Source organism: Homo sapiens, chromosome 6 (assembly GCF_000001405.40).
Source record: "Homo sapiens chromosome 6, GRCh38.p14 Primary Assembly".
NCBI lineage: Eukaryota > Metazoa > Chordata > Mammalia > Primates > Hominidae > Homo > Homo sapiens.
In genome coordinates this window covers 138,835,824-138,848,326 of record NC_000006.12, presented here as the reverse complement: position 1 = coordinate 138,848,326, position 12,503 = coordinate 138,835,824, and the positions used below count along the sequence as shown (strand labels likewise).

General features: G+C 40.5%; 1 protein-coding gene across 8 annotated transcripts in view; it reads right to left on the bottom strand.

Annotated features, from left to right (window-relative positions):
* The window catches only part of ECT2L (epithelial cell transforming 2 like), a 107,984-nt gene that overhangs the window by 55,744 nt on the left and 39,737 nt on the right, over positions 1–12,503 (bottom strand). For all 8 annotated transcript variants that reach the window (XM_017010828.2, XM_006715472.4, NM_001077706.3 and 5 more), the window contains 4 exons: positions 9,813–9,975; positions 5,096–5,348; positions 3,747–3,915; positions 1,650–1,788 (listed from right to left, as the gene is read on the bottom strand). In XM_017010828.2, the coding sequence (XP_016866317.1) occupies positions 1,650–1,788; positions 3,747–3,915; positions 5,096–5,348; positions 9,813–9,975 (724 nt within the window). The remainder of the gene's footprint in view (positions 1–1,649; positions 1,789–3,746; positions 3,916–5,095; positions 5,349–9,812; positions 9,976–12,503) is intronic.

Genomic DNA, 12,503 nt, shown 5'->3' with positions numbered 1-12,503 from the left:
ATTTGGGAATTTCAGAGAAGTTTTAAAGTAATTCTTAATCAGCATGCTCCTTTTTTGGATTAAATGCAACAAATTCAATTCAACAAAAATTTATTGGACATGCACACTGATATGGTTTGGCTTTGTGTCCCTAACCAAATCTCATCTTGAATTGTAATCCCCATAATCCCTGTGTGTCGAGGGAGGGACCTGGTGGGAGGTGACTGGATCATGAGGGCAGTTTCCCGCATGCCGTTCTCATGACACTGAGTGAGTTTTCATGAGATCTGATGGCTTCATAAGTGTCTGGCATTTCCTCTGCTCATTCTTCTCTCTCCTGCTGTCATGTGAAGAAGGTCCTTGCTTCCCCTTAGCCTTCTGCCATGACTGTAAGTTTCCTGAGGCCTCCTTGCCACGTGAAACTGTGAGTTAATTAAACCTCTTTCCTTTATAAATTACCCAATCTTGGGTATTTTTTATAGCAGTGTGAGAACAGACTAATACACACGCTCACAAATGTTCAGACACAGAGGTCTACATGTAGCATCAATGGGTGAAGCTAAAAGAGTGTTGGAATTTTAGGATTTTAGGTTCTATTGTTTGCAACTTTGACACTTGAGTGAGTTATCACCTCTCAGTTAAAAGGCCTCAGTTAAAAGTTTGGGCCTTTAGGCTGGGTGCGGTGGCTTACGCCTGTAATCCCAGCACTTTGGGAGGCCAAGGCAGGCGGATCACGAGGTCAGGAGATCGAGACCATCCTGGCTAACACGGCTAAACCCGTCTTTACTAAAAAAAAAAAAAAAAAAAAAATTAGCCGGGCATGGTGGCGGGCGCCTGTAGTCCCAGCTACTCAGGAGGCTGAGGCAGGAGAATGGTGTGAACCCGGGAGGCAGAGCTGGCAGTGAGCCGAGATTGCGCCACTGCACTCCAGCCTGGGCGACAGAGTGAGACTCCATCTCAAAAAAAAAAAAAAAAAAAAAAAAAAAAAAAAAGTTTGGGCCTTTAATGCTTTTTCAAAATAATTTTGATTTATGATTACCTTTATTGCTTCTGGGGTTTTTGTTTGTTTTGTTTTGTTTTGTTTTGAGACAGTGTCTTACTCTGTCACCCAGGTTGGAGTGCAGTGTCCTGATCACTACAACATCCATCTCCTGGGTTCAAGCGATTCTCATGCCTCACTCTCCCGAGTAGCTGGGACTACAGGCACACACCACCACACCCGGCTATTTTTTTTCTACTTTTAGTAGAGATGGGGTTTCGTCATGTTGGCCAGGCTGGTTTTGAACTCCTGACCTCAGGTGATCCACCTACCTTGACCTCCCAAAGTGCTGGGATTATAGGTGTGAGTCACTGCACCTGGCCTTTTTTTTTTTTTTTTTTTTTATAGAAACAGAGTCTCACTCTGTTGCCCAGGCTGGAGTGCAGTGGTGTGATCACAGTTCACTGCAGCCTCCATCTCCTGGGCTCCAGTGATCCTCCCACCTCAGCCTTCTGAGTAGCTGGGACTACAGTTAGTGCCACCACACCTGGCTTGATTTTCCTTTTAGAAGTTGAATCATTTTTCATACACATGGTGGCCAAAAGCTTGTCACACACCCTCTAGTCTAGATGAAAAAAAACAAAAAACAAAAAAACAATCAGGACAGGACTGGCCTCATAACATACTCTACCTCATACGCAGGAATCCGGGATGATATTAACATGAAGTGTGGCCGGAGAGCATATGAAGATCTGTCATCATTTTTATGAACTCCATGCCAATTTTTCTTTGATAATAAAGGGTAGGAATGGCTTCCAGAAATATTGCTTCTATGGAGTAAAAGGAAATATGAGAAGTTTTCATTTTCTCTTACCTTGAGTTTTGGTAAGTACACAGCATATGTCTCTGGGCATCAGCTCTACTCTACAAGGCACGTGGCCTCCATGCCTTAGCCTCACCCTGTGTTTTGTGAGGACAGTAGTAAATGGAGCTCCTGGGTGTAGTGAGGCCAAATCTGTTCTCTGAGCCTCTCCTCCACCACATGTGGGATGCTGGAGCAGTCTCTTGGAACTTACTTATCTCTTATTGGGCACTTAAATGAAGGTAATGACATATTTGGGAGTTCAAAAAGATATTTAAAAAGAAGTAGCTGAGAGATTTTGAATTTCCTTCTAGGCCTCAGTTGTTCCTGAGTAATGTCTTCATTCTCTCCACAGCCACCCTCACCCCCAACAATACCAGGAGCAGGGGCTGTTCTGTGCTTCTTAAAATTCTTTTTATAAAAAAAAAAAATTTAAGTGACAGGGTCTTGTTCTCTCACTCAGGCTGGAGTGCAGTTGTGTCATCACAGTTCACTGCAGCCTCAACTTCCCAGGCTCAAGCAATCCTTCCACCTCAGCCTCCTGAGTAGCTGGGACCACAGGTGTGTACCATCACACCCAGATTTTTTTTTGGGTGGGGGGAAAGATGGGGTCTCGCTGTGTTGCCTAGGCTGGTCTCCAACTCCTGAATTCAAGTGATCCTCCCACCTTGGCCTCCCAAAGTGCTGGGATTATAAGCGTGAGCCATCATGCCTGACCTCTTAAAATTCTTTATGTGCCTTGAACAAGTAAATGTACATGCACACATTCACAAATGTTCAGATACACAGAGATCCATATGTAGCATCAGTGGGTGAAGTTGAAAGAGTGCTGGAATTTTAGAGTTTTAGGTTCTAGTGTTTGACACTTTGACATGTGGGTAAGTCATGTCACCTTCCTAGGCCCCAGTTTCCTCATTTGAAACTTAGGTGAGTGAGATTACATGATCTCAAGAATCCAAAGTTGGCTGGGCATGCTGGCTCATGTCTGTAATCCCAGCACTTTGGGAGGCCAAGGCCGGTGGATCACCTGAGGTCAGGAGTTTGAGACCAGCCTGGCCAATACGGTGAAACCCTGTCTCTACTACAAAATACAAAAATTAGCTGGGCATGGTAGTGCGCACCTATAGTCCCACCTGCTCTGGAGGCTGAGGCAGAAGAATCGCTTGAACCCAGGAGGCAGAGTTTGCAGTAAGCTGAGATTGTGCCGCTGCACTCTAGCCTGGGTGACAGAGTGAGACTCCGTCTCAAAAAAAAAAAAAAAAAATCCAAAGTTAAAAGTTAAAAAGAAATTCTAAGCAGATGCACAATGGTGATGGTTATGAATGTCAGATAGAATTGAATTTCTGGTAATTTCACTCTATAGTATGATTTGGTAACTGAATACAGCCGATGTTTCTCTATTATAAAAGAATTATATTTGTACATACAAATATAAGTGGAAGTTATATTTGGATACCATTTGGATACTCTTACTTCGTAGAAAACACTTGTGGAAAAATGTTATTTTTGTTCAGTAACTTAATACAGAAAATATACTACATCCACAATATAGCTTCAATGCAGAGTTGAGAATATGTAAAGCTGGGCTCAGTGGCACATGCCTGTAATCGCAGCTATTTGGGAGGATGGCGGGAGGATCGCTTGAGCCCACAAGTTTGACACCAGCCTGCGCAATGTGGCAAGACTTCATATCAAAAAAAAAAAAAAAAAAGAACATTTAAAATGTAAGTTTTGTATGTTATATGTTTACCTCTTCAGAAGGCATGTTTGACTACTGTTCTAGAAAATTAATTATCTTTACTGATATTTCATAGGATATGAGCCACAGAATTACACAAGATTTCTGCGTGATAGCTAAATTTATTCTAGAGTGAATTATTGGTATTGGGATGGTGTTGAGCCTTCAGTAGATGGAATTTTGCTTACCGCTTGGGCAAGGTTTCTAACGATGTCAAAACAAGCTGTTTCTCCAAAGCTTCATGTAATCCCACTCGCTCCCTTACAGTCTGGGAGAGGCGTGGTTGGCATCTGGGCTTTAGCACGCTAGAGCAGCAAGTTCCACTCACCCAAGGGGGTCGAACTTTGAATAACTCCTCTGAAAAACAAAGAACAGCAGGCGGGGCTGATTACTTCATACTTCTCCCAGCCAAGTCCACACAGATAAAGGCATCAAAAATAAAGCTGTACCAGGGCAAGGTTCCAAATGACAATAATTACAGCCATTTTCATGCACTCGGTTTGGATTTCTCATCCTCTTGGCACTGTGGCTGTGAGCTACCGGTCATTTCAGGTCAAGAAACAAAGCTCAGAGAACAAGCAAACAAGCAACCCTTTTCTAGTGGGGACCAGTTAATCAATTGATAGGTGTCACATTCATTTGTGCCCTTCTTCTTGCCTTCAAGCAATTTCTTATTTGTCACGATCTCACCAGAGGGTTAGTGGGAAGAAAACATGGGAGAACTCTAATCAGTTTTGCTGTTTTCTTTTACACACTGCATAAAGCATAAGGCCTAGCTGAGGCTGGGCGCCGTGGCTCTGCCTGTAATCCCAGCACCTTGGGAGGCCAGGGTGGGCGGGTCACTTGAGCCCAGGAATTCGGGACCAGCCTGGCCAACATGGAGAAACCCCATCTCTACAAAAATACAAAAAATTAGCAAGGCATGGTGGTGTGCACCTGTGGCCCCAGCTACTCAGGAGGCTGAGGTGGGAGGATCACTTGAGCCTCAGAAATCGAGGCTGCAGTGAGCCAGAGATCATACTACTGCACAGCCTGGGTGACAGTGAGACCCTGTCTCAAAAATAAAATAAATAAATAAATAAATAGGGGGCTTAACTGAAAGAGGCTTTAAAAAGAGCGGAAAGAGCTGTCCTCTTTCTCCCTTTTTAAATGCCATTTTCCCTGCTTCCATTTTCACTTGCATTTCTCCTCCTCTTTTCATCACTCCCAATTCCTCTGTTTTGAACCTATTTGTTTGCTTTTTTCCCCATGTTCAAACATCTTTATCCTCTTTGTTTTTGGTCTTATAAGCCTGAGAGGAGCCAGAATAGCAATGGAAGCACTGATATTTAACCTTATGTATTTTGTCTGAAATCTTTGTTTTTCTCATCAATTAACTTGAAATATACAGTACGGAAAAAAGCTCATCTGGAAAATACTTAAGACTGCCACTCAGAGTATTCCGAAAGACAGGGCTGTCCTCTGTGGGAATTTGTATGTGAATCCATTTGTGTCTACAATATTTACCTAAGATATAAAGGTTTAAAATGCTACTTACTCTTACGTAGTGCAATTTTCTCCCAAATTCTTTTCCTCAGGCACTTTTCTCTTTGTCTCTCCAGTAGTTCCTCATCTTCTGTTTTGGGTTCATTCAGCGTCCCATAAGTAGCAGCAGCCTCCCTAGGTGTCAGCCAGTCTAAGTGGGACACACAAGCAATGTAATGGCGCTTCCAAGCACCATACTCATTATCTGTTGGAGTATAGGGCAGAAACCATCCGAACTTAACGCATTTGGGCATCCATAAGCAATCCTTCAGAAACAAGAGGAAGATGAGTCACAAATTGTTTTCAGACAGTTTTCTAGCAATAATATTTTCAGGTACACAGATACTTTTTCATTACACTGAGATTTCTGGTACAAAAATCTCTGAGAATTTGTATGCAAATCCATTTGTTTCTACAATGTTTATATAAAATTGAAAGTTTTAATTTTTTTTATATTTTATTTTACTTATTTTGAGACAGAGTCTCACTCTGTCGCCCAGGCTGGAGTGCAGTGGCACGAGCTCGGCTCATTGCAAGCTCCGCCTCCCGGGTTCATGCCATTCTCCTGCCTCAGCCTCCAGAGTAGCTGGGACTACAGGCACCCGCCACCACGCCTGGCTAATTTTTTTGTTTTTTTAGTAGAGACGAGGTTTCACCGTGTTAGCCAGGATGGTCTCCATCTCCTGACCTCGTGATCCGCCCACCTTGGCCTCCCAAAGTGCTGGGATTACAGGTGTGAACCACCGCACCCGGACTTTTATTTTTATTTCTATGTTTTTTTTTTGAGATGGAGTCCTGCTCTGTCGCCCAGGCTGGAGTGCAGTGGCGCGATCTCAGCTCACTACAACCTCTGCCTTCTGGGTTCAAGCAATTCTCTTGCCTCAGCCTCCTGAGTAGCTGGGATTACAGGCGCATGCCACCATGCCCACCTAGTTTTTGTGTATTTTTACTAGAGGCGGGGTTTTGCCCTGTTGGCCAGGCCGGTCTGGAACTCCTGACTTCAGGTGATCCTCCCGCTTCAGCCTCCCAAAGTGCTGGGATTACAGGTGTAAGCCACTGCACCTGGCCAGATATAACGTTTTTAAATGCTATTACTGACTTACTATCTGAACTTGACTTGGAAATAAGAAGCGTATCTTGTTCCACAGGAAAAATATTATTTGATGAATATATATGTTATATGTGAATGTATGTATTAGACATCTTTGTGACACTTATCCAATGTTCCAATAGCATTTGGTTACGTTAACCCTAGATTCTGAGAATTCAGCTTCTAGCAATAGTGGAATAGTTTCTTTCAGATTAACCCTCTCATTGAGAATAATTTTGACTGAAGCGTACGATATTGCCAATATTCAGCCATTTTGACATACGACAAGAGAAAATTTCATGTGGTTTGAACTGATGAAATACCTAGACCAAATATTATACAAACAATTATTTGAAGGCTATATTATAGAGCTATCAATGCAATAAGGACTTGTTCAACCAAGACCCCAGAAAGAAGGGAAACCCAGAGAGGTAAGCCTGATATTTGGCATCACTTTTTACTTCAAGGCATTTGTCAGTTCCAAAGCAAAGCTTGTTAGGCTGAGAAGCAGAACAGAAAGTTATGACTAAAAGACTTAGATGCTAAAAAAGAATCTTAGGCATTCTCACAGGGAAGAAAGGACACAAATGGAAATTTAGGGCCCACTAAGACGGGAGAGGCTTGGTAATCACACCAGCTTTCAGTTAAGATTCTTTTCAGGAAGGATAATACTTAATTAGACAAACTCTCACAAAGACTGAAGCCAGCTTTGAAACATCTCATTCCTTGACTGGATTTGTAGGATTTGTTCCTAGCACTAGACGTGCCAGAAGCAAAAGTAAATTCTCTCTGGAGGAAGAAAACATCACCCAGAGACTCAAAGGATCACATTAATTTTGTATACTCAGTATCTGGTACTCAATGAAAATTAACTAGAACACACAATAGACAAGAATTCTTTTTTCTTTTTGGTTTTTAATAACTATAGAGAGATCCTCAGGTGATCCAAATATTGTAATCATCAGACATGAACTTTGCGGAAATAAATACTCTATAATTAATATATCTAAAATAAATGACTAGGTAGAAAATTTTGGCAAAAGAATTAAATCAATATTCTAGAACTGAAAATATACAGTAACTGAAATTTAGAACTCAATGGATGGGTTTAAGATCAGATTAGAATCTAGCTAAAGAAACAATTAGTAAACTGAAAGATAGGTCCAAAGAAAATCCAGACTGAAATACTGAAGGTCACAGAAATGGAAAATGTGTATAAAAGAATATGAAAGTTATGAGACGTGGTGAATCTTTCCAACCTATAAGTATTGGAATACTAGGAGAAAAAGGGAGAGAATGGGGCAGAATCAATATGAAGAAATAACATCTGAGAACATTTCAAAACTGATAAAAGATATTAAGTCTCAGACTCAAAAATCACTACAAAACAAGATACATACAAACACACACCTAGGTATATCACAATAACATTACTGAAAATGAAAGAAAAAAAGTCCAAAAAGCAGCTAGAGATGATAGAAATGTTACCTTTAAAGGATCAACAATAAAACTTCTGACTTCTCAAGAAAAAAAAATGAAATATTTTCAAAGTTCTATAAAAAAAAATTAGCTGCCAACCTAGAATTTAAATTTCGTATTGAAATAATCCTCTAAGTATGAAGATGAAATAGATATTTTTAGATGCACAAAAACTAAGAAAACTTAGCAGCACACTTGTGCTAGAGGTAATATTAAATAGAACGCAAAAGGAAAATTATTCCAAATGGAAACTCAGAGATGCAGGAACAGAAAAAAATGAACTACAGAAAAAAATATGGTCACATATAAATCAATATTGACTACATAAAACAATAGTAATAAAGATTTGTGAGATATGTGTTTATGTGTTATCTATGTTTGGGTTTGAACTGCGTGGGTGCATTTATATGCACTTTCTTCCACCTCTGCCACCCCCAAGACAGCAAGACCAACCCCTCCTCTTCCTCAGCTTCCTCAGCCTACTCAACATGAAGATGATGAGGGTGAAGATCTTTACAATGATCCATTTCCACTTAATAGTAAATATGTTTCCTCGTGAATTTTTAAATAACAATCTCTTTTCTCTTGCTTGCCATATTGAAGAATACAGTATATAGTACATATATAAAATGTGTGTTAATCGACTTAGCATTATCAGTAAGTCTTCTGGTCAACAGTAGGCTATTATTAGTATATATAAAATAAAAATCTTTAACAAAAAAAGCATGGAAACTGAGAGGAAGGTAAATGAATTTAAAGTGTTTTAAGCTCCCTGCATTGTCTTAGAAATGGTAAGATAATATTAATTCAAGGCTATATGTTGTAGTCTATGGTAACCATGAAAGAACTGTTAAAGAATCCATAATTAACAATTGAAAAAAAGTTTAATTCGCACAAAGGAAGACAGGGAGAGGGAAAAAAACATAAAACAAATGGGACAAACAAAAAATAAATAGTAAAATGATGGATTAAACACAAATATATCAGTGTTTACAGAAATATAAACAGACTAGGCCAGGCACAGTGGCTCACGCCTGTAATCCCAGTACTATGGGAGGCCGAGGTGGGTGGATCTCTTGAGCCCAGGAGTTCAAGACCAGCCTGGCCAACATGGCGAAACCCCATCTCTGCTAAAAATACAAAAATTAGCTGGACGTGGTAGTGCATGTCTATAGTCCCAGGTACTTGGGAGGTTGAGGTGAGAGGATCTCTTGAGCCTGGGAGACAGAGGTTGCAATGAGCCAGATCACACCACTGTATTCCAGCCTGGGTGACAGAATGAGATCCTGTCTCAGGAAAAAAAAAAAAAAAGTATGTGTTTAGTTACATTTTATTAAATATTTTACAAGAAAATGAAGAGACAATGAGGCCAGAGGCAGAATTAATGGCAAAAGATGTTGATTTTAAACAGCTGCTGCTGTTAACTGCTTTCAACTGCTGTTGACAGATCTCAATGTATGTTCTTTAACAGATGTTAAGACAATAAGGGATTAGTTGAGGCTGTGGTTGTGTAGCAGTTTCTAGAGCTGAGTTATCAGAGATAATATACAAAATCTAAAGCATAAATCATTTTTCATGAAGAAAAGTGAACTCCTTGGCCGGGTGCGGTGGCTCATGCCTGTAATCCCAGCACTTTGGGAGGCCGAGGCGGGCGGATCACAAGGTCAGGAGTGCGAGACAAGCCTGACCAACATGGTAAAACCCCGTCTCTACTAAAAATACAAAAATTAGCTGGGCGTGGTGGCACGCGCCTGTAATCCCAGCTACTCAGGAGGCTGAGGTGGGAGAGTCACTTGAACCCAGGAGGCGGAGGAGGTTGTAGTGAGCTGAGATCACGCCACTGCACTCCAGCCTGGGCAACAGAGCGAGACTCCGTCTCAAAAAGGAACTTCTTTAACCAAGATAAAATGTTTTCTAAACAATTATACTGAGTATTTAAAGATTTTTTAAGTAACAGGAATTATTGGACTAGTCTATATTCCTTATTTATAGAAATACATTATTGTATTTCACTTTTCCCCATTTTTTCTCTCAAGGGTAAGTTAATGATGGATCAGGTACCCTCAGCTATTGTCTTCAGGGACGGGAGCTACCCCAGTAGCCTCATTACAGATTACAGCTGTACTTGTGCCCTATTACTAGGAAGTGGCAAATAGTAAACCTGTTCAGTTAAAAACTTCCAGGGCCAGCTGACTTGGGCAGCGGCACACAAATCTTTCGGACTCAAAAAGGAAAAGATATATAGAGAAATGAAGCGTGGTAACACTGTAGAGAAGTCCACTTTGGCCACTTGCATCCTTTCTGAAAACCAGTCTTGGACAAACCTAAAAAGAAAGAGAAATTTAGTTTAGAACACTAATGTCTAAAATTTACTAAAAAGTCAGCATAAATATTGGTCATTGATCTTCCTCCAATGTTCTACCTATAAAAAATAAATCCTAACAAAACATAAATCTAGATTTAAAAAATTTTCAGGCCAGGTGCCGTGGCTCATGCTTGTAATCCTGGCACTTTGGGAGGCCAAGGTGGGTGGATCACTTGAGGTTAGGGGTTCAAGACCAGCCTAGCCAACATGGCAAAACTCTGTCTCTACTAAAAATACAAAACATTAGCTGAGTATGGTGGTGCGTGCCTGTAATCCCAGCTACTTGGAAGGCCAAGGCAGGAGAATCACTTGAACCCAGGAGACTGAGGTTGCAGTGAGCCGAGACCGTGCTACTGCACTCCAGCCTGGGCAACAGAGTAAGACTCTGTCTCAAAAAAAAAAAAAAAAGTATTCACTTTGAATTATCCATTCTAAAAAGGAAGACAAAGAACAAGAATATCTAAAATTCACAGGAATAAAACAGTCTTGGAGTAAACCTAGTTTGATGTGATTTTCAAGAGAAAAAGACTATAAAACCTTTTCACTATCAATTTAAAACAACTCAAGATTTTTAATGGAGTTGAAATTCAAAGCAAAGATATATTCACTGAGATTTTCTTGTGTGTGGACGTTTTTGGGTTTTTTTAATTGTTGTTTTTTTTTTTTTTTGAGACCAGTGCTTCTAGAAGAAACTTATTTTTCCTTTTAAGTGGCTGCCTGTATTATAAGACCAAATTCTCTTCCCCACTGGACCTAACACACTATATTATGCGATTTATTTAATCCTTCTTTTGACACAAAGCTGGCCACATTCTGAAATGCCAGTCATTTCTCCTGAATGTGTAGCAGGTATAGAAGAGACTAGTGTGCTGTTACGGGTCAGTAACAGGGTTTGCTCAGCCTGGCGTGGCCACAGGAAGAGTGCGGAGAGACTCAGTGGGGCAATAGCCGTGTGCAGAAGGGGAGAAGGAGACGATTGCTTCTGAATGGCTGGAAGATTGGTTGTTTACAGGGGGTTGGGAAAAATATGAAGATTATGGGAGCTAGGTTTCTCACTTTTGGAAAAAGGATCTACAAGTATGTAAAGGAGGAAAGCTAGACTAATCTATATGCAGTTGGAGAGAAATTGGAGATATCACTAAAATCTCATGTTTTAAAATATGTATATAAATGAATGATACACAGAGACAGATGGCTGTATATGTACACGTGTGTACATATATTTCATGTTAGAGCACCTAAAAGCAATAACATCCCAGAAGCAATGAACACACCATAAACTCAGATCTTGGTTTCTCAATTCCGTTTCCTAATAAAACAAACCAGAGCTTACTGGAGAAATGGTATACTGATACCAGGGCAGGGACAAGGAAAGTATAAGATGGGTCTGGAACATTTTGACACCAGAAAATAAGGAAGTACTTAAAGAATCATGGACATACCAAAAGAATACAGAAGCTAATTTATTAATAAAGTCACTCCCACTGGCAAAATATGGAATAATTTGAGTATCAAAGTATATAATTAATGTAATATAGCCTATTGAATAAAACAGGCGTTCCTGAGTCCATACTGATATAAATATACCCATGAATGAATAAATAAATAGGGGAGAAGGAAAACTACCTCACAACAGAACACCAATTAGTACAAGCAGAAGGAATTAAGAAATCAGGAAATCACCACTTGGAGGCCATCATAGTAATAATTGCTTCAGGTAAGAATCATCAATGAGTGGCTCACGCCTGTAATCCCAGCACTTTGGGAGGCCGAGGTGGGTGGATCACCTGAGGTCAGGAGTTTGAAACCAGCCTGGCCAATGTGGTGAAACCTGTCTCTACTAAAAATACAAAAGTTAGCCGGGCATGGTGGTGTACGCTTGTAATCCCAGCTACTCAGGAGGCTGAGGCAGGAGAATCGCTTGAACATGGGAGGTGGAGGTTGCAGTGAGCCGAGATCGCGCCACTGTACTCCAGCCTGGGTGACGAGCAAAACTCCATCTCAAAAAAAAAAAAAAAAAAGATTAATGAATGCTAAAAGTAGTGGGTGAAAGCTTGATAAGAAACAGGATATTTACATAGAATAGTTTTTGATTACTTTAAAATTAATCAAATACTTTTAAATTGCTTATTAAATATAAATTAAGTACAAAATACTTAATTAGCTATCTTAACCAAGGGATGTAATCTCCAGCTATGGGACAAATTGATATGCTATGCCCCCCGACGCGATCCACTGAGAACACAGCATCATTTCCGCGCTATTCCTGCCAAGAAGGCATAACCTGAGCGTAATCTTGAGGAACCATCACCCAACCAGAAATCGAGGGTCATTCAACAAAGCAGCAGGCCTGTGCTCTTCAAAAGTATCAAGTCATAAGAGACAAGGAAAACCTGAGCATTTGCTCCACATTGAAGGCAGATCTAGAGACATGGAAACTAAATACAGTAGATAACCCTGGGCTGGATTCTGGACCAAATGGAAAAG